This window comes from Homo sapiens, chromosome 10 (assembly GCF_000001405.40).
Source record: "Homo sapiens chromosome 10, GRCh38.p14 Primary Assembly".
NCBI lineage: Eukaryota > Metazoa > Chordata > Mammalia > Primates > Hominidae > Homo > Homo sapiens.
Window position 1 is genome coordinate 45,638,976 of NC_000010.11, and position 22,700 is coordinate 45,661,675.

Genomic DNA, 22,700 nt, shown 5'->3' on the forward strand with positions numbered 1-22,700 from the left:
AAACATTCTGGAGTGAAAGGTCCTATTTTAATTTGGGTTGTGTCTACATGAGTGTATATAAATGTAAAAATTCGTCAAGTAGTATATTAAAGATTTTTGAATTTTATTATACATGAAAAGGAAGGGAGCCATTAATAGAGTAAAAAGGAAAGCAATAAAGTGGTAATATGAAACAAAGGACTTTTATCTAGAATATATATAAAACTCCAAAAAAAATCTGTAACAAAAAACATACAACCCAATAGAAAAATGGAAAAATATAGGTGTTTTATTAAAAAGGGTATCCAAATGCCCAATAAACATATGAAAGGTGCTCAACCTTCCAGGTCTCATGAGAGAAATGCAATTAAAACCACAATGTGATGCCACCACAAACAAAGTAGGATTACAAAAATTACAAAGGACCATGCCAAATACTGGTAAGAATATGGGAAAATGGCAACTCTCATTCACTGTTGTAAAGAATGTAAATTGGTTCAATCACTTTGGAAAAAACTGGCACTATCTACTAAATAGTAGATATCTTTATCCATAATAAATAAATATTAACATATTTTAAAAAGTAATTATTGCCAGATTAAGATTAAGCTCTCTTTTTTTATCCTTCTTAGACCCAGAATGATCTTTAAAATGATGTTAAGTGCAGTATAATCCCTTCAGGTGTGCTTCTAATCCAAAAAATCCAATTTATCCCTTTTAGAAGTTTAATAAATAACTGAGGCCAGAAACCTGAAATGAATAATACTTTATAATTTTTTCACAATGACCAACAGACCTCATTGCTGAGTGCTCTGCAGGGGTAAGCTAGAGATAAGCCTGGTCAAATGCCAACAGCTTCACCTTTTTGCTGAGATTCATGTTCTTCATCTTAGCCTTCAGCAGCTTCATCTTATTCATAGTTATTGAATTTTCAATTATCTGTTGCCCAGAAGAAGAAGGCTCAGTTTCTTCATCCTCATCTGTATCTGAATTATACATAGAACCACCACTGCAAAGAAAACAATAACTACTTGAAATTTTTCTGATACCTGCTCAGTGACTAAAAATGCTCTATATGAAACAGCAATCTATAGAAGTTACTAATGATAAAACACTACATCCATTTTGTCAATGTTAATGTCAGGAAAATATATTTCAAAGAATGTACTTCTTAAAAGAAAAAATGAAATGGGAATAAATATTATGATCTAGGATTACTGAAAATCTAGTATAGCTGAGCTTCTCTGAATTCAGTATATCATAAATGAAGATGTTTTGACACCTGCCATATCATTCCCAAAGAGGCAAAATCCATTTCCATGAGAATGTCTGATTTCATTTTATCAGCCAAGGCTGATAATTGTGCAACCCAGACAACAGGCTGATGAGATTTCCATGAATCAGAATTTTTTTAAATTTGGCACGGGAGAGAAGTACAGATTTTTAGTCATCCTGAGGAGATTCTCACTAAAAAAAAAAAAAAAAAAAGAATTCATACACAGGTGTCATCAGAACATTTTCTATTCTTAAGGAGCAAAAAACATTTTTTTTTTCTTGAGACAGTCTCACTCTTGTCGCCAGGCTGGAGTGCAATGGCACAATCTCGGCTCACTGCAACCTCTGCCTCCCGGGTTCAAGCGATTCTCCTGCCTCAGCCTCCCAAGTAGCTGGGACTACAGGTGTGTGCCACCATGCCCAGATAATTTTTTGTATTTTTAGTAGAGACAGGGTTTCACTGTGTTAGCCAGGACAGTCTCAATCTCCTGACCTCGTGATCCGCCTACCTCGGCCTCCCAAAGTGCTGGGATTGTAGGTGTGAGCCACCGCGCCCAGCCAATACATTTTTTTAAGTAGAGATAACTTCAAATTTTTCTAAGTGTGTTTGAAAATGTAAAAACCTAGACTAGCATAGATTTTAACAAGAAAAAACACATCCAGTCAAGTCATGATACAAGCTATTAAACAGGTTAAACATTTCAATTACTGATCAACCACAGCGACGTTATTCATATTTCAATGTAATTAATATTTGGAGCCCTTCCTCTTTGATTGTATAATATAATGATGTATCACACGATCCTCATATTTATACTTACATGTTTGTTTTGCCCCTTATTCTCCCACATGTAAGCAAGTTGAAAGCAGACATTAGACTTTATCTTCTGAGTCTGCACCAGGCACAGCGCTTGGCACATAGCCAATAAATGTTTGATGAACTGAACACAAAGATTTTGAAATTTAATTTATTTTTTCTATAATGGGAAAATTAGAATGGCAAGGATTTGATAAAACACAAGCTTGGCACATTTGGAAAACAATTAAGACTTTAAATAAAGCAAAATAAGAATACATATTAGTTTCTATGCAGATTTACTTATAGGAAAACTAGGTTATCTACACTATGGAAGTATGAGGAAAATTTCCCGTTTTATATGGTTGTAAGAAATGGAAACAATTTAGGACAGCCTTAATGGGGTATATTCCTTAATGTTTCTGAAGCACATATTGTCACACAAGGCCAAAAAAGAGAGCAGACAGCCCCATTCCTAAATTTTATATGGTGCAACATGAAATGTTCTGAAACTGTGGGTTAATTACACGCACTATACGCATGGGTAGCATCTGAAGGAAGAATGTAGGACTGGTCTCCACAACCAATTCAGTCTGTGGTGCTTGACTTGTGACAGCCACAGTTACCTACTACAGCATGGCTACCACAGTATGATAACTGACACAAGTACAACACTGAAGTAATAATATTGCCTGCCATTTACTGAATGCCTGCTCTGCCAGGCACTTCCCACACATTATTCCTAATTCTCACAAAACTACATAAGGTAGATATTATAGCTGATTTTATTAATGAAGAAACTGCAGGTGAGAGAGGTTAAGTGATTTGGCTCAAGATCAGAAAGCTATAGACAGCAGACCTAAGATTCAAATCCCCTATGTGTCTGGTTCCTAAGCTGATTCTTCCTACTACTACTCATTGCTTCCCCAGGCACCAAATGACAGGACTTACTGCATCATGCTTGTGCACCCAGATGAGTGCCAGAACTTCTACTGTGTGAAGGCTTTTGTCTCAAGGCCAACTATACAATACCTGAAGAAGGGTGCATGAAGATTTTCGTCATGTCACCCTGTGGAGTTAGAAGGAATAACTCAAGTATACACTATTCTCAGTTACCTTGCAATATTTTAACCTTAAATACTTCTGAGTTACTCTGTGGCATTTTAAGTATCTTTACTGAATACTGAAAGAAGTTTCTGATTCAACATTACTGTCATGAAAAGACCTATTCTCTCATGGAATAGATACATATATACACACACATACATACACACATATATATATATATAAAAGAACAATCAGCTGGGCGTGATGGCTCACGCCTGTAATCCCAGCACTTTGGGAGGCCGAGGCGGGTGGATCACGAGGTCAGGAGATCGAGACCATCCTGGCTAACATGGTGAAACCCCATCTCTACTAAAAATACAAAAAATTCGCCGGGCGTGGTGGCGGGTGCCTGTAGTCCCAGCTACTCAGGAGGCTGAGGCAGGAGAATGGCGTGAACCCGGGAGGCAGAGCTTGCAAGTGAGCCGAGATCACACCAGTGCACTCCAGCCTGGGCGACAGAGTGAGACTCCATCTCAAAAAAAAAAAAAAAAAGAACAATCATGATAAATCACTGGACTCATTTTAGAGTATAAAAACACTTTTAAATTCACCTTTTTTTTTCAAAGAACCACATTATTTTGTTTTCTCTCATGAAGTATAGATTCATGAGATGAGTTAGAATCCAATCACAAATTTTTTTCAGATGAAAAAATGTAACTAGGTTAACATACTAATTTATAAATTTAATCCGAAATGACTTTCTTTATATTTAAATATAATATAACATTTCCTTGAATTTCTAAATTTTTTTTAGTGCTATATGTAATTTCTCCAAATCTTTTTTTTTTTTTTTTTTTTTTTTGAGACAGAGTTTCACTCTTGTTGCCCAGGCTGGAGTGCAATGGTGCAATCTCGGCTCACCGCAACCTCCACCTCCCGGGTTCAAGCGCCCTTTCTCCTGCCTCAGCCTCCCTAGTAGCTGGGATTACAGGCATGCACCATCACGCCCGGCTAATTTTGCATTTTTAGTAGAGATGCGGTTTCTCCATGTTGGTCAGACTGGTCTCAAACTCCTGACCTCAGGTGATCCGCCTGCCTCTGCCTCCCAAAGTGCTGGGATTACAGGCATGAGCCACCACGCCCGGCCTCAAATCTTTTGATTTAATGATATGATTAAAGGATACAAGATAGGCAAATGTAATATTATTCAAGCATGAAATCTGCACATCGCAAAGCCAAGACCTCATTTAACTTTCACAGTTTACCATTAAGTCTTACAATGTCTCCTTATCTATCTTTCTGCTTAAAAAATCCCAGGCCGGGCACAGTGGCTCATGCCTGTAATCCCAGCACTTTGGGAGGCCGAGGTGGGCGGATCACCAGGACGGGAGATCAAGACCATCCTGGCTAACACGGTGAAACCCCGTCTCTGCTAAAAATACAAAAAATTAGCTGGGCATGGTGGCGGGCGCCTGTAGTCCCAGCTACTTGGGAGGCTGAGGCAAGAGAATCGCTTGAATCTGGGAGGCAGAGGTTGCAGTGAGCCAAGATCGTGCCACTGCACTCCAGCCTGGGTGACAGAGCAAGACTCCATCTCAAAAAAAAAAAAAAAAAAAAAAATACCAGTAAGGTGGCATGATCCACTAAAAAGATTTGAGACTAAAAAAAGACTGATGCTGCATTTTGTATCAGAATGAAACAAATTAACACTCAATTCTCCCTCTTTCTTTTTAGAGTAGAAGCCAGCAAACCATGGTCATGGGTCAAATCTGCCCCACCACCTATTTCTATTTCTGTGTGGCCCATGAGCTAAGAATGGTTTATGAACTTTAATTAGTTGAAAAAACTCAAAATAATGGTATTTCATAACAAATGAAAATTAAATAAAATTCAAATTTGTGTCCATAAATAAAGTTTTATTGGAACAAAGCCATATTCACCCAATCATGTATTACAAATGGCTGCTTTTGCCTACAATGGCAGAGTTGAGTAGCTATGACAGACTTTATGTGGCTCTCTCGTTGCTCTACACTGTGATATGGAGAACTACAAATCACAGTAACATAGTCATAATTCAACAGTATTTTGACTGCCATGTATATTGCTATTCTGTGACTTTTTTTATTACTAGGGTATACCCAACCTTGTCAAACAAGAAAAGTAGACTTCAAATGTTGCCATTTTAAGGTACCGTAGAGTGGATTATTTGTTAGCAATTAGATAGCAAAGCATGATGCTTATAATGCAGTGACACTATAGCTATGCTAAAGGAAAACAGCATAAATAGACATTACCAGGTTAGGCATTCATCACAATATTCCCAACTTTCAGGAAAGCAACAGTCAGAAAAACTAGAAAATTTACAGTAGAATATCTCATCACAGCAGAATTTCTTTACACAAATAAAAAATGAAAATGAAGCTATAAAACCAAAGAAGTTTCTGAATGTTTATATCTGCTAGCCAAGCAAGGAAAGCTACTCATCAATAGTGAATTAATTCACTATTGATCACAGCAGTTGAGGAAGTATGTCCTGAGAAAATAAAGTTGTTTAAAGATTACTTTTCCAGCAGGGACAATTTCTCAAAAAGTTGATAGAATTGGAAGTAATGTCAACAGCTGATTTAAAAAGCTGATTGTTTTTTGATGAGCTGACATATATTACCCATATTGCTCTGTGTTATTGTTTATTGAGGGCGTCAATACCAAGTTTGAAGTGACTGAAGAGTTGGCCCCTATGAATAGTCTGCATGAAGCTACTACAGGTGAGAATATTTTCAAATAAATTGCTAAATACTAATTTAGTACAACTTTAAGTGAACTCTGCTATAACTGATGGGGTGATGTGTGAAACAGAAAAAAACTTATTGGACAAATTTATAGTTAGTGAACATGTAAGGTCTTTTTTTTTTTTTTTTTGTCTTTTTGAGAGGGGGTCTCACTCTGTCACCCAGGCTGGAGTGCAGTGGTGTGATCTCGGCTCACTGCAACCTCCACCTCTTGGGCTCAAGCAATCCTCCCACCACAGCCTCCGAAGTAGCTGGGACTACAGGTGTGCACCACCAGGCCCAGCTAATTTTTTTCCAGATGGAGTTTCACTGTGTTGCCCGGACTTGTCTCAAACTCCCGGACTCAAGAGATTCGCCCACCTTCCAAAAGTGCTGGGATTACAGGTGTGAGCCACCATGCCCTTTAAACATGTAAGGTCTTTAAAGTCTACAGTTATTCATTGTATTATTCATCAGCAGGTATTTCATGGTAAATATCTGAGTCTATCCTGTGTTATTAAACCAGCAGTGTTAATGGTAAACTTCAATTGTTTCATGGACTTATCCATCATCAGTTTGGTGGCTTACTGGTAATAAAGTTTTATTATGTTTTTTTTAGCTCAGGAACTCTGAATGAGAAGAACTGGCCTTAACTACTATTACAAACACTTTTTAAATTTTTAAATTGCCTTTGGAAATTAATTTTTACTGTGGACTTCATAATGTTTCATAATGAATTTAACCTAAAATTACAAAATAAAACAATATTTATATGTGAAACATATACTGCAATAATGTCATGTTAACAACAACTAGTGTTTGAATTACACGTAACAGCAAGCTGCAATCATTCCCATGCTTTCAAAAGTAGAAATTAAGTGATATCTCTATTCCCACAGAAATTTGCAGCAGATATATTTCCGAGCTCAAATTATAGGTCTAGCAGTGTTTTTATACCTCAGTGCAATTTCCAAATAATGTTCTATTTCAAAATTCATTTAAATGTGCAACTGAGGAGCTTCCAGGGCAAACACCAAGAGAAGATCTGATAGAATTTTATAAACGCCTTAAAAATGATCAATATGTTCAATAAAAGCATGTGCTCATGGACTGATATCAGCATCTGACAGTACCTATCTGTGTGAAAAAAAAATTTCTAAGATAAAATACATAAAATCTCATTACAGATCAGCTCTAACAAGTGAACTTTTGCAATTGACTTTGCAAATTTGATGGGCAACACTAACTTTCCACCTCAATTAGGTAAAACGTTATTCCCATGAAAAAGAATTCCATTCTTCTCTGGAATTCTGTGGTACAAACAGAAGAAAAGTACCCAATTGTTAGTCTTATATTTTGAACTTTGTTAGTGAAAGTTCTGTGGAAATTTGTTTTCTCTCGTTACATAAGTACCTATTTAATATCCTTGATGCTGTCTCTTGGCCTAAAAATCCTAAAATAGTTACTATCTGCACACCTTTACAGAAGAAGTTTGCTACCCCTGTTGTAGACTAGGAAAGCCTCTTCTAGAACAGGAAATATAAATGTTCTTCATGGTATGATCAGATTGTTTTCTACTCCTCTTTCTCATTCATCCATCCCTTTCCTTGTCCAATTATTGTAGATGAATACAAAGGAAGAAAAAATATATAAATTATCTTGTGATGAACAACAAGACAGTTCTAATTAAATTCCATGATGATATTTGGGCTGAGTCATAAACACAAATAGAAGTTGGCTGAGGAGAAGCTGGAGTAAGAGGAGAAAATGACGTTTCAAGCAAAGGAGAAAAGATGTCTAAAAACACAGCATAATGAGAAGACCTGGAAAACTGATGGTAACACGTTGTCAAAGGACTCATACGCTAAGCTGAGGAGCTTGGGTTTCCTTTAGGAAAAGGGAGCCAAAAGAGTGTGTACTAGAGAAGAAAACTAAACAGTGAGCCAGCACACGGCAAAACTGGTATGAAGACATTCTATTAATGGCCTAAGGCTGTAACCCTCACTGCTACCTCCTCCATTTCTTGCCCAGGGTTTATGCCAAGTTTGAAGTGCTAACCAGATGCTGACATGTTAAAGTCAACAGGTAACACCCATGTGTCACAGTCTGCTCTCTGAGGCCACAAAAAATTCAGTCTAATCTTTCTTTCATGTAACACTCTGTGGAGGGGCAGAAGCCTAGGGGAATCTCTCTGACTCTTGACCCTTGGTGTTCACATCACATATGGTTTCCTACCCTTGAGTGTGGGCATGATGGACATCTAGCTTCTAGCCAACTGAATATGGCAAAGGACGTTGCAGATGTAATTTAGGCCCCAAATCAGTTGGTTTTGGGTTCATCAAAAGGGAGCTGAGGGCAGCCTCTAGTCAATAGCCAGCAAAAAACTGGGCGCTCCATCATATAACTGAAAGGAAATGAATTATGCCAGCAATAAGAGTGACTCTGTAAGTAGATTCTCCTCCCCAGTCAAGCCTCTTGATAAGAGAATTGCTGACACCTTGACTCCAGATTGTGGGACTTGGAGCACAGCAATGCTGTGCCTGGACTCCTGATCCACAGAAACTGTTCTCCAAACTACAAGCTGTTTTTTTTTTTTTTTTTTAATGATTTTACCACTACCTTTTTATTTTGCAGGATGTGTAACACCTTCCCTTGCTTTGTCTGCTTGGCAAACTCCACTCCCCTTTTAGGGTCACTTCTTCTCAGAGGATGTGTCTAACTCTCTGCCTTTCATGCATAATAAAGGCCCTGTCATCTATTCTCCCAGAGATCTTGATATCTTTTTATAACATCACCAACATTATATCACTGATACTCTTCATAGCAGACTGCATGCTCCATGAAGGTAGGAATAATCATCTTTACAACATCAGTGCCTTGCTCAGTGAATGGCCATAAAAGTTCAGTGAGTGAATGCTTAATAACTTGAAGTGAAAGGAGATAAAAAAATCATAGTAACTCAGAATGCACAGCAACTAACTGAGAGGTTGCCTTGTCCAATTCTCTAATTCTTCTATTGCTTAGCTAAATATATGTAGGGTTTTTCCTCCTGATTTTAGAATATTACAATTTATCTCCCTTTTATAGAGTAGGAAAACAAGACCAGAGAAGTAAAGAGATTTATCTGCCTTTAAGGAGCAGAGTTAAATTTAGAAAAAAAGGTATCAACTTTAGGTTTAACCCTTTCTATTATGCTAAGGTTGTATAATAACACACTATTATGACAGGATTCTATAATCTATTAGGCATCTTAGAGTTTCACAGACTAACAGAAACAAATCTTTTTATGAAAACATCCCACTCTAAAAAAACCTCAGTTTTATCATATCAATTATACGAAGGACAATTTCAGACTTATATATTGGGGGCTGGGGCAGGAATGAGATGCATGACATTTGTTAATATATATAGATTATTTTGACAACACAAGGTAAACAAAAGTTTATGGAGTACCTCATACGATGTTCTCCTTTTCTCCGTAGGACATGCAAATGAAAATCTATTTTCTTTGAAGAGTCAGATAACGGTGTTAAAGTGCCATCTCCCCTATCTACTGCAGGAAAGAAATTCAATTGATCTCCTTCTTGGTATACCAAAAATGTAACTTGTTTGCTGCAGGAGGTCTTCTCCCAGACCTCAACTCGACTGGAATCCAAGTACTCTGCCATCTTCCTAAGTGGATCGTCTGTAGGAACTACAAATGGAAAATTGAAATAAGTCTTCAATTTGGATCAAGTTTTATGCATCTTGGTACAGTGACAGGATATAATATACTGAATTTGAACAACAGTCCTGTGCATATAATATAAACATGATATTCTTCAAATAAGTTTCTGATCTTTCTACAATTAATATAGCATTCCCTATGTTATATTAATAAGAAACAAACAAACAAAATGCATGATTATGTTGCTATATTCAAAGACAGGGCTAAACTAAAACATGAGAGTTTTTTGTCCTATGCCATTATAGTCTATATTTTTTCCCTATGTCACTAGAGTCTGTGTATTTGCTGATTCTATGATATTACTATCAATAATTTTTTTACTATATACTTTCTGCTCCCTATATTTTCAAATATTGGTTCCAACAATAATTAAAACCAAAATAAATTCCACTTACGTTAGATTAAAAGTACACAGACACGGCCGGGTGCGGTGGCTCATGCCTGTAATCCCAGCACTTTGGGAGGCCGAGGCGGGCAGATCATGAAGTCAAGAGATCAAGACCATCCTGGCCAACATGGTGAAACCCCGTCTCTACTAAAAAAAATACAAAAATTAGCTGGGCATGGTGGTGCGCACCTGTAGTCCCTCAAAAAAAAAAAAAAAAAGTACACACACACACACAATTAGGAGACATATCTAAGAAATTAGAAGTAAGCAGACCTATCTTTTTCTTTCTGGTTTTATATAAAGGCTGATTCTTAAGAGCTGTTCCTTGACATGAAGTTAGGTAATTAAAAGTACATAATAACTTAGAACGTGAGGGGGGTCACTTCATGTACTAAAACTGCAACAGTTCCAGGAAAAAATAAAAGTTCTCTCCCAAAGACATTCTCATCATACTGCAGAAACATCTGTTTTCTCCTAAAAGAGGTAAAGATTTCCCAAGCTGCATAACTTTCACTTATTTATTAACAGAATCGTGGTGCTCTACAACCCTTTAAAAAGAAGTTGCAGCAATAGGAAAATATTAAACTTGGAAAGCAGTAAGGTAAAAACATCAAAGATGCTTCCATAGCCTAAATTCAATAACACTATTACTAACATAAAAATCTTATAATATGGTTTAGCTTGCTTTATGAAAACAGTTATTTGGATGTTTTGATTTACTTTCACAGGCCCAAAATGTATAAATATTAAAAGACACTTTTCAAACAAGTTCTTGCCTTTTGTAAGTTAATGCTCCACTTTCCATATTACATCAAGAGATAAAAATTTGGATCAGAGAGCAGACCTTTAGGGGGGAAAAAACCCAACAAAACACAACAAAAAAGAAATAAAAATTATGCCCATTTTTTAGATATTGCTATAGCCATTACCACAGTCACATGAAAGCCTTTCCTAAACCAGCACAGGGTGCCTTACTCAGGCAAGTGTATGTGTGGATCTTCTCATAACAGAAAAATCTTTCAGATTTTATCAGCTATAAAACAATATATATGAAGTTTGATATGCATTGGGCACAATTTAGTTTTAGAAAAGAAACATTTTAATCTTTCTATGCTGCTTTGATAATAGTTATTTCAAAAACAATTTTTTTTTATTTGTATTCGTTTTTTGAGACAGAGTCTCACTCTGTCACCCAGACTGGACTGTAGTGGCGCAGTCTCCACTCACTGTAACCTCTGTCACCCAGACTGGACTGTAGTGGCGCAGTCTCCACTCACTGTAACGTCTGTCTCCCAGGTTCAAGCAATTCTCATGTCTCAGCCTCCTGAGTAGCCCGCCACCATGCCCAGCTAATTTTTGTATTTTTAGTAGAGATGGGGTTTCACCATGTTGGCCAAGCTGGTCTCAAACTCCTGACCTCAATACCACTGCCTGTAATCCCAGCTACTCGGGAGGCTGAGGCAGGAGAATCACTTGAACCCAGGTGGCAGAGGTTGAAGTGAGCAGAGATCATGCCACTGCACTCCAGCCTCGGTGACAGAGCAAGACTCCGTCTCAAAAAAAAAAAGAAAAGTAAAAAATATATATATTTACCTCAGAATCTGTATCACACTCCTCATAAACATATAAAATAATTTTAGTTCTAATAAGAAAAGTAGGTGTTTTGATTAAACACTTTGGTTTAAAGTAGTACTACGCACAAATAACCAACTTTCAAAAATGTAATACAATAGAGTTCACATGGCATTAAACACTATATAATTCTATCTTAACATAATGGTTCAGTAAACACAGGGTTCTTGTGCTACTTCAAGAGTTATTACTATAAACATCACATAGTTATTACTATAAACATTTATAGTTATTACTATAAATGTCACATAGGACAATTACCTAAATCCAATTAATTAAAAGTCTCTGGTATCAGGAGTGCTAAAAGGCCCTAACATTATTAACTTTGTTTTTCTCTAACCTATAAAAAGCAGTCCAACAGCCAAAGTAGCATATCTCATTAAATCCTCTTGAAATAGCTAAGAAAAAGATGGCAATAATCCTATTTTCTAACCAAAATTATTAAACATAGGGATATAATTTGACATGTGGAAGCAAGCCAGGAGTAGAATCAATACTTATCCTTCGGTTTTCTGGTTAGTGAAGGATCAAATAAATCTGAAGGACTTCCTCAAAATGAGGTCCACAGAAGAGGATGCTCTGACTAGTCTCCTCCACTTCATGGGAATTCATGTGACATACCTGACTCAGGGACCAATGTGAATACTGCCGTCTCTTCTTGTGCTTAATAAAACCCTCTCATCAATCAAGTCTCCACTAATGTCATCTTTTTCGAGGGCCCTTCCTACCCTATTTTCTGCATAGCACTTACAACCATTAGGAGTTACATCGACTCTTTACACATTTATTGTAGGCACTGTCATGAAGCAGAGACTTTCTCTCCCATGTCTACCATACTTGGAACATTGCACTGACCATTCAGTAGACGCTCAATACGTATTTGTTGAATGAATGACTGGATTTCAGAACTACTTATATTCTGAGAAAGGATGCAACCGGGGCCATGATAATATCCATGAAACCCAGACACATCACAAACCAGGTAAACAGGCAATGTTGGAATTTTGCAAAACGATCATCATCTTGGGATTTGAAGATCTGGTAGATTTAAAAATAAACAAGACTCGTATGAAACTAAACACAATGGTAAAGTAGTATTTATAGTATGTCATTCCATTTCTGTTCCCTATACTGGCAAAAGGTTTATTTTTAAACCTCTCTGAATTGGATCAGGAATCATGTGATTTTTCTGAATTGTATTTTAGAGTTCCAGCCTCTAGGCATTTAGGTTTTAAAGAACAATGCCTAGAGAATCAAATGTGATTTTTCTAAGACCTAATAGCAGAAAGGAAACCTAAATAAAACCTGAGGCTATAAAAATACTAACTGACATAAAGAATGTTACTGTCAAATTGCTTTAATATATATATATGCCTACCTCTTCTAGTATTTATAGGTCCGCCACGCATAGCCAAAACTAGCTTCAAGGTACACCCTTCTGAAATGCTGTGGATAGTTAACACAAAAATAAATCATAATCATCAAAATGCATTCAGTTAAATGTACACATAATTATGTGCTGGCTTATCAGGCAGAGTGGCCACTCTCTAAAATATAAAAAGATATAGCAATGTAAATACATATAAAATGTTAACATATTTACTGGTACAAATAATAAAAAAGGTGAAACAAATTCTCATAAGCCATAAAGAAATCCAAGAATAAACATACTGGAAAAGACCTCTGTGATTACGTGTTTTAGCCTGTTCATTTCACATTAAGGAAAAGGAGGCCCAGAGAACAAAAGTGGCATGCCGGAGACCCAAAGTGCAGAAAATAGCAAATCTATTTAATAAAACAGAAAATAGAAAAATAACAAGGTCTCCTGACTCTCAGTGCTCTTACAGCTATTCCACACTGCCTCTTATCCTTTTACTCTTTTCTTAACAAAAGAGTGATGAATTATGTGAAAGAGGGGAGAAATAAGAGAGACAAAGTGTCAGAAAGTACGTTGGTAGTCACTGGTGCACACAGCATTGCTTAGTAACAAAAGGAGGGCTTAATGAGAAAGGAAAGACTTTGGGAAGAACAATTCTCTCTTATCCAAAACTCTTGTAAAAACAGAAAGAAAGGAACATAGCCAGGAAGGAATGGTTCAATATTCAAAGAAAGGAGAAAAGTAGGCAAGAAGATAATAGGAGGATTTCAAAAGGCAGGAGATAAACAGCTTGACATGAAAAATGAAAAGGGAAAATAAATGTATCAGAGGATAAAGGTTAAAGTAGTATACAGTACCAAACTAATGCATCTAAAGTTCAGGATGTATAATGAAATCTAGGAATGTGAACTATTCAGGAGAAAAACAGACATGATCTAAGAGTTCAAAAGAAAAACATTAGCATATGGAGTCATAATACTAAGTGCCTACAAAACAGCCAATATGCAATTACACTCACTTGTAATCATTCAAGCAATAATCATTTTCAAGTTCCATGTTATTCCAAATTAAGTGTTGTCGACAGATGGGAATACCTTAAGGGAAAGTTATTAAAAAAAAGTGTTAAAGAATTCAATAGCATCTCCAAAAGAGTATGATACAAATCTATTTCATTAAGGAACTAAGAGCACTAAAAAATTAAACATTCTTCTAAATTGAATGCTAGGTGCTAAAATTTACAGAATCATAGGTAGAAGGCATGCCTAAAAGGAGATATAGTCCAATCCATTCACTGTAGAAAAGAACAGCATGTTGCAATAACTCTCTGGTCCTAAAACAAGGTATAAGATAGGGATCCCTTTAAAAGGCAAGATATCATGCTCCTGCACAGCAAAAGAAACTATCAACAGAGTAAAGAGATGATCTACAGAATGGGAGAACATATTCACAAACTATGCATCTGACAAAGATCTAATATCTACGATCTGTAAAGAACTTAATTCAACAAACAAAGAACAACCCCATTAAAAAATGGGCAAAGGACATGCATGAACAGACACTTCTCAAAAAAAGACATATATGTGGCCAACAAATATATTTAAAAAGCTCAACATTACTAATCATTAGACAAATGTAAATCAAAACCACAATGAGATACAAGCTCACACCTGTCAGAATGGCTATTAATAAAAAGTCAAAAAATAACTGATGTTGTCAAGGTTGAGGAGAACAGGGAACGCATACACTGCTGGTGGGAATGCAAATTAGTTCAGCCATTGTGGAAAGCAATGTGGAGATTTCTCAAAGAGTTTAAAACAGAACGACCATTGAACCCAACAATCCCACTACTGGGTATATACCCAGAGAAAAATAAATCACTCTATCAAAAAGACACATGCACTAGTATGTTCATCACAGTACTATTCACAATACAAAAGAGATGAAATCAATCAAGATGCCCCTGCAACAGTGGACTGGACAAATAAAATGTGGTGCATATACACCACAGAACACCATGCGGCCATAAAAAGAATAAAATCATGTCCTTTGCAGCAACATGAATGCAGCTGGAGGCCATCATCCTAAGAGAACAAATGCAGGAACAGAAAACCCAAATAACATGTGTTCTCACTTATAAGCAGGAGCTAAACACTGAGTATATATGGAGACAAAGATGGGAACAATAAACACTAGGGACTACATGGGGAGGGAAGGGGATGTGGGTTGAAAAACTACCTATCGAGTACTATGCTCACATCCTGGGTGACAGGATAATTCATACACCAAACTTCAGCAACACACAATTTACCCACGTAACAAACCTACCCATGTATCCACTGAACCTAAAAGTTGAAAAAACAAAAAAAGATATTGGGCTGGGCACAGTAGCTCATGCCTGTAATTCCAGCACTTTAGGAGGCCGAGGCAGGTGGATCACGAGGTCAAGAGATCGAGACCATCCTGGCCAACATGGTGAAACCCCGTCTCTACTAAAAATACAAAAATTAGCCAGGCATAGTGGCAGGCGCCTGTAGTAGCAGCTACTCTGTAGGCTGAGGCAGGAGAATCACTTGAACCTGGGAGGCAGAGGTTGCAGTGAGCCGAGATTGCGCCACTGCACTCCAGCCTGGCAACAGAGTGAGACTCCATCTCAAAAAAAAAAAAAGATATCATGAATCAGGCCTGAAGAGTTTAGTATTTGAGGCCTAAAATGGAAATCAAAAGCAAGCAGGAGTAGCTATTCTTATATCAGAGAAAACAGAGTTTAAAGCAACAATATTACAAAAAAAGACAAAGAAGGTCATTATATAATGATAAAAGGATCAATCCAACAAGAAGATATTACAATCCTAAATATATATGCACCTAACTCTTGAGCTCCCAGATTCATAAAACAATTGCTATCAGGAAAAGAGATAAACAACAACACAATAATAGTGGGGGACTTTAACACTCCACTGACAGCACTAGACAGGTCATCAAGCCAGAAAGTCAACAAAGAAAAAATGGACTTAAACTGCACTCTAGAACAAATGGACCTAACAGATATTTACAGAACATTCAACCGAAGAACTGAAAAATATACATTCGTCTCATCAGCACATGAAACATTCTCCAAGATAGATCATATGAGAAGCCACAAAAAAGTCTCAAAAATTTTTAAAAAATCAAAATTCTATCAAGTATCCCCCCCAGACCACAGTGGAATAAAATTAGAAATCAACTCCAAAAGGGAATCCTCAAACTATACAAATACATGGAAATTAAACAATCTGCTCCTGAATGATTTTTGGGTTAACAATGAAATCAAGATGGAGATTTAAAAATTCTTCCAAAGGAATGATAATAGTAATACAAGTTATCTAAACCTCTGGGATACAGCAAAAGCAGTGCTAAGAGGAAAGTTTATAGTGCTGAATGCCTACATCAAAAAGTCTGAAAGGTCACAAACTGACATCACAGTTTGATGTGTAACATCACACCTCAAGGAACTAAAGAAACAAGAACAAACCAAACCCACAGCTAGCATTAGAAAAGAAATAACAAAGATCAGAGCAGAACTAAATTGAATGGAAACAAAAAATACTAAAGATCAATAAATAAAAGTTTGGTTCTTTGGAAATATAAACAAAATCCACAGGCCATTAGCTATATTAATCAAGAAAAGAAAACAGAAAATGCAAATAAACTCACTGAGAAATAAAAATGGAGACATTACAACTTACACCACAGAAATACAAAAGATCATTCAAGATTACTATAAATACCTTTATGCACATAAACTAGAAAATCTAGATGAAATGGATAAATTCCTAGAAACATACAATCCTCCTACCTTAAGTCAGGAAGAAATAGAAATCCTGAACAGACCAGTAACAAGCAGTGAGAATGAATCAGTAATTTTTAAATTGCAAACAACAAAAAAAGCCCAGGGCCAGATGGATTCACAGACAAATTCTACCAGACATTCAATGAATTGGTACTGGCCGGGCGCAGTGGCTCACGCCTGTAATCCCAGCACTTTGGGAGGCCGAGGTGGGTGGATCACGAGGTCAGGAGATCAAGACCATCCTGGCTAACACAGTGAAACCCCATCTCTACTAAAAATACAAAAAATTAGCTGGGCGTGGTGGCACGCACCTGTAGCCCCAGCTACTTGGGAGGCTGAGGCAGGAGAATGGCTTGAACCCGGGAGGCGGAGGTTGCAGTGAGCTGAGATCGCACCACTGCACTCCAGCCTTGACAGAGCAAGACTCCGTTTCTAAAAAGAAAAGAGAAGAGAAGAGAAGAGAAGAGAAGAATTGGTACCAATCCTACTGAAACTATTCCAAAAGATTGAAAAAGAGGGAATCGGCCAGGCAAGGTGGCTCATGCTTGTAATCCCAGCACTTTGGGAGGTTGAGGTGGGCAGATCACAAGGTCAGGAGACCAGCCTGGCCAATATGGTGAAACCCTGTCTCTGAGAGCTCAAAGCTTCAGTGAGCTGTAATGGTGCCACTGCACTCCAGGCTGGGTAACAAAGTGAGAACCTGTCTCAAAAAAAAAAAAAAAAAAAAAAAAGAAAAGAAAAAAGAAAGAAAGAAAAGAAACAAAAACTGTAATGGAAAACTTAAAAGCACCAGAATATCAAAACACAGTAACAAGAAAACGACAAAAATTTGAAAAGACGCTTCACCAAAAAAGATATACAGATAATGCAACAGACTGAATGTTTGTATTCCCCCACCCAAATTCATATGCTGAAGCCTAAATACCCAATATAATGGTATCAGAGGTAAGGATGGGGGTCTTTGGAGGTAATTAGGTCATGAGGGTAGGGTCCTCAAGAATGGGATTAGTGTCCTTAGAAGAGAGATGATCTCCCTCTCTTTATCTACCGTGAGAGGATGTAGAAAGAAAATAGCTATCTGCAAACCAGAAAGAGTGCCCTCACCAGACCCTAGACCTGTGGATTAGTAATCTTGGACTTCCCAGCTCCAGAACCGTGAGAAATAAACTTCTGTTGTTTAAGACATCCAATCTATGGTATTCTGTGACAGCAACCTGAACTTTTTTTTTTTTTTTTTTGAGACAGGGTCTCATCCATTGCCCAGGCTGGAGTGCAATGGTGCAATTTTAGCTCACTGCAATCTCCATGTCCTGAGCTCAAGCGATCCTCCCACCTCAGCCTCCTGAGCAGCTGGGACTACAGGCGCATGCCACCACGCCCAGAAAAAATTTTTGTATTTTTAGTAGAGACAGGGTTTCGCAATGTTGCCCAGACTGGTCTTGAACTCCTGGACTTGAGTGATCCACCTGGCTCAGCCTCTCAACCTGAACTTATTAAGACAGATGACAAGCAAATTAAAAGATGCATAACATCATCAGTCATTAGGAAAATGTAAATTAAAACCACAGTGAAATATTTCCAGTTCGAATTATAATAGCAAAAATGAAACAAAAAGTAAAACTAAAAGAACCCAGACAATATTATTAAGTGCTGATAAGGATACAGAGCAACTAGAACTTTTATGTATTACTCATACAAACACAAAATGGTAACAACCACTCTGGAAAATAATTTAGCAGTTTTATAAAGTTAACTATATACTTCCTATGCAATTCAGCAATTCCACTCTTAAGTATTTACCCAAGTGAAATAAAAACCTATGCTTCCATAAAAATGTGTATGTGAAAGTTTATATGGCTTTATTTGTAATCACCAAAAACTAAAAACCACCCAGATGTCCCTCAACTTGGGAATGAGTAACTATGGTACTTCCTTATAATGGAACATTACTCGGCCATAAACAGAATGAACTACTGATACATATAACAATATGATAAGTCTCAAACATATTATGCATAAGTGAAAAAAACCAGACTTAAGAGACTATAAAGTATATGATTTCATTTATATAAAATTCTAAAAAAGGCAAAATTACAGGAACAGAAACAGATCAGTGGGTATGATAGGGGCTTGGAATAGAGGAAGGGATTGACCACAAAAGGTACAGGAGAATTCTGATAGGTGATGGAACTGTTCTATATCTTGATTGTGGTGGTGACTGTATGATAGTAAATGTCTGCCAACACCAACAGAACGATATACTTGTTATGATATACTGTGTCCCTTCAAAATTCTTAGGTGGAAGTCTAAGCCTCTTATACCTCAGAATGTGACCTTAACTTGAAGACAGAATCTTGACATATGTATTCAAGTTAAAGTGAGCTAACTAGGGAGGGCCCTCATCCAATATGACTGGTATCCATATAAAAAGGAGAAATTTGGAGGCAGATACACACAGACACAAGGAGATTATCACATGAGAAGACCAGGGTGATGCCTTGAATAAGCCAATGAACTAGAAAGATTGAAAGCAAACCCCCAGGAGCTGGGTGAAAGGCATGTGACAGATTCTACAGCCCTCAGAAGGACCTGACACTGTCACCAACTAAATCTTGTATTTTCAGCCTCCAAAATCGTGTAACTTTCTGTTAAGTCACCCAGTTTGTGATACTTTGCTATGACAGCCCTAGCAAACTAATACAATATGTGAATTGTATGATATGTAAATTATATCTTCCTAAAAAATAGTTTGTTAGAATTTGGAGACAAATAAAAACATGCTCAGTATTATTAGTTAGCAAATTAAGAATGTGTATAAACTAAAAAAAATGATCGAAGCTGTCTAATCGTATATATTGCTGTGATTACAAAGCCCTTAAAGAACTATTATAATTTTTTAAACAAAAAAATATTTTTAGCAAAACAAATACTTGGAATTTAATAACACTGACATTCAACTTACCAAAAACTTGTAGGATATAGCTAACACAGTTATTGGAATTTTAAAATAAACGGTTATGTTTTTAAGAAGTTGAGACTCCTAGTTTCAGCTCTGATATATGGAGAACTTTTAATTCACCACTCCTTACAAGAAAAAAAGCTGAACAAACCGAAAACCAACAACTTTTCTTTGTGCCATCAGAGAAATTAGGTAGTAAGGTAAATCACCATAAGAAAATCTGTTGAGATAGGCAAACCCAGAGAGTCAGAGCCAAGATCCATTTACGTGAAGCTGAAGCCTCTAAAGTCATAAACTGGAAGGAACACTTGAATGGTAATTTTGATGAATTCATAGAGGCTGAGTGTGGACTAGTATGAGACTGGGAAATTATTGAGGGCCAGAAACCAGGCCCCTCTAGCCTCCCTACCTCACCTAAACTACTAGAAGTTGAAGGAGGGGAGAAGCTAAGATACACTTTGAAGGTCCCAGCCTAGAGGCACAGGCCCACTGCAAGATTTAATCATAAGATTACAGAATGTTCCCCCTCTTCCCAATACCTCACCACCACACTAACAAGGCTCCAGTATAACAACAGTGGATTACAACGGAAAGAATTGTAAGACGCAAACTCTAAGGAGGAGTCTTTAGGGAAACTCAAAGGCAACAGGGGAGACAAAACAAGAAAAAACTAGAGGAATTTGAAGGCTCTGGCACTTATAACTACAGCAAACATTAAACACAGCCCAATTTCTAGCAAGTTGAAGATAAAACCTCACTCTAATGTCCTATTTACCTCAATTCCTATTACCTGATATGTTATGTCTGGTTTTCAACTAAAAATTACAAAGCATGCTAAAAGACATGAAAAAATATGGTATGAAAAGACAAAACTAGCATCAGAAATAGACTCAGGTATGTCAGAGATCTTGAAATTATCAGACAGGGAAATTAAAACAGCTAAGATTAATATGCTAAGAAATCTAATGGAAAAGTATACAACATGAAATAACAGATTGATAATACAAGCAGAGATGGAAACTTTAAGAATAAAAAGTAGATGTTAAAAATAAAAGCTCCAACAGAAATAAAGAATGCCTTTGATTGGTCATCTGCAGACTGGATCTGGAAAAGAATTGGGAAGTTTGAAAAATGGCAACAGAGGCCGGGCGCGGTGGCTCACGCCTGGAATCCCAGCACTTTGGGAGGCCGAGACAGGCGGATCCCGAGGTCAGGAGATCGAGACCATCCTGACTAACACGGTGAAACCCCGTCTCTACTAAAATACAAAAAATTAGCCGGGTGTGTAGTCCCACCTACTCGGGAGGCTGAGGCAGGAGAATGGCGTGAACCCAGGAGGCAGAGCTTGCAGTGAGCCAAGATCACACCACTGCACTTCAGCATGGGCGACAGAGCGAGACGCATCTCAAAAAAAAAAAAAAAAAAGAAAAATGGCAACAGAAACTTCCTAGGCAAGGCACAGTGGTATGCACTTGTAGTCCCAGCTACTTGAAAGGCTGAGGCACAAGGATTATTTGAGTCCAGGAGGTCGAGTCCAGCCTGGCCAACATAGTGAAATCCCATCTCAAAATAAATAAATAAATAAAAGAAACAAAGAAAAGAAAATAAACTTGGCAAAACGGACTGTTAAGAGAAAAAAGAATGCACAAAAACAACATCTATTAACTGTGGGACAATTTCAAAAGTTGTGGCAATTTCAAAAGGTGCCACTAGAATATCAGAAGAAAAAATGAGACAGAAGAAATACTTAAATAATGGCCCAGATTTTCCAAAATTAATGAAACATACCAAACCACAGATCCAAGAAGCTCAGAGAATACCAAACACGATAACTACCAAAGAATCTACACCTTCAACATATTATATCAAACTGTAGAAAAGCAAAGACAAAGACAAAATTCTTAAATCAGCCAGGAAAGGGAAAAAAACACCTTACCTAAAGAGAAGCAAAGATAATTACTACAGGGGAGTTTTCATCAGAAATCATGCAAATAAGAAAAGACTAGAGTGAAATATTTAGTGTTGAAAGAAAAAAAATACCAACTTAGAATTCTATACCCTGAAATATTATCCTTCAGAAATGAAGGAGAAATACTTTTTCAGACAAACAAGAAACGTTAAAAGATGGCTTTTTTGCAAGAAACGTTAAAAGACATTATTCACAGAAAAAATGATGTAGGTCAGAAACTAAGATCTACATAAAGAAAGCAAGAGGTGGAATTTGTTGCCAGTGGACCCATATTGCAAGAAATGTTAAAAGACATTCTTCACAAAAAACAGGATGTAGGTCAGAAACTCAGATCTACATAAACAAAGGAAGAGGGCTGGGCCTGGTGGCTCAGGTCTGTAATCCCAGCTCTTTGGAAGGCTGAGGCAGGAGGATCACTCTGCTAAGCACTTCACCTTTAACTCATTTAATCCTGAGAACAACCCTTTGAGATAAATACTATTATTCTTCCTATCTTAGACTGAGACAACTAAGATACAGAGAGATTAAGTAATTTGGGCAGCCAGTAATCTGAAGCCAGGCAGCATGGCTTCGGCACTCCAGTCCCTTTTTCAAGGCCCATTGTAAATCCCTGAGCAGGCCCTGCTCCTCCCTTGCTGCAGCCTCCTTGTTCCTAATGCAGCACACTCCTTCAGTCCTTTCTCCACTAGCCCCTCCATCCTCCCCACTCTCCCCACCAGGCTCTAGTTCTCAACTCACCAAAAACTTCCCCTAAAGAAAAAGCAGTCTGGCAGAGTAATCATTTTCCCAGCAGGACGAACCCAAGCAGCCTCATCTCTGCCCTCCGTATTCCATATCCCTCTAACTTGGAGAATCTGACTCACACCATGTGACCCCAAATGTCTTCCAGGATATAAATATAAAGATCACCCAGAAAGGGCTTAAAATGTGTTTTTCAGCTGGGTTAGGTGGCT

The 22,700-nt window shown here is 37.4% G+C and overlaps 1 protein-coding gene across 24 annotated transcripts in view, besides 1 other annotated feature; it reads right to left on the reverse strand.

Moving 5' to 3' along the window:
* ZFAND4 (zinc finger AN1-type containing 4) overlaps nucleotides 1-22,700 on the reverse strand; it is a 57,314-nt gene that overhangs the window by 23,476 nt on the left and 11,138 nt on the right. For 9 of the 24 annotated variants that reach the window (XR_001747259.2, XM_017016933.3, XM_047426012.1 and 6 more), the window contains 4 exons: nucleotides 14,009-14,084; nucleotides 12,991-13,058; nucleotides 9,319-9,559; nucleotides 841-1,006 (listed from right to left, as the gene is read on the reverse strand). Coding sequence is in view for 22 of the 24 variants with exons in the window: in XM_017016933.3 (XP_016872422.1) it covers nucleotides 841-1,006; nucleotides 9,319-9,559; nucleotides 12,991-13,058; nucleotides 14,009-14,084 (551 nt within the window). In the remaining 2 variants the exon portion in view is untranslated. Of the gene's footprint in view, nucleotides 1-730; nucleotides 1,007-1,265; nucleotides 1,447-2,075; nucleotides 2,196-9,318; nucleotides 9,560-12,990; nucleotides 13,059-14,008; nucleotides 14,085-22,700 lie in introns of those variants that run through there. The other 15 variants (NM_174890.4, XM_047426009.1, NM_001128324.2 and 12 more) reach the window with 6 other exon arrangements.
* Nucleotides 15,621-15,720: an enhancer, noted in NCBI's record as "active region_3322". NCBI's record gives its function as "activates an Ori minimal core promoter by ATAC-STARR-seq in GM12878 lymphoblastoid cells {active_cell/tissue: GM12878}" and the evidence as "EXISTENCE:reporter gene assay evidence [ECO:0000049][PMID:35858748]".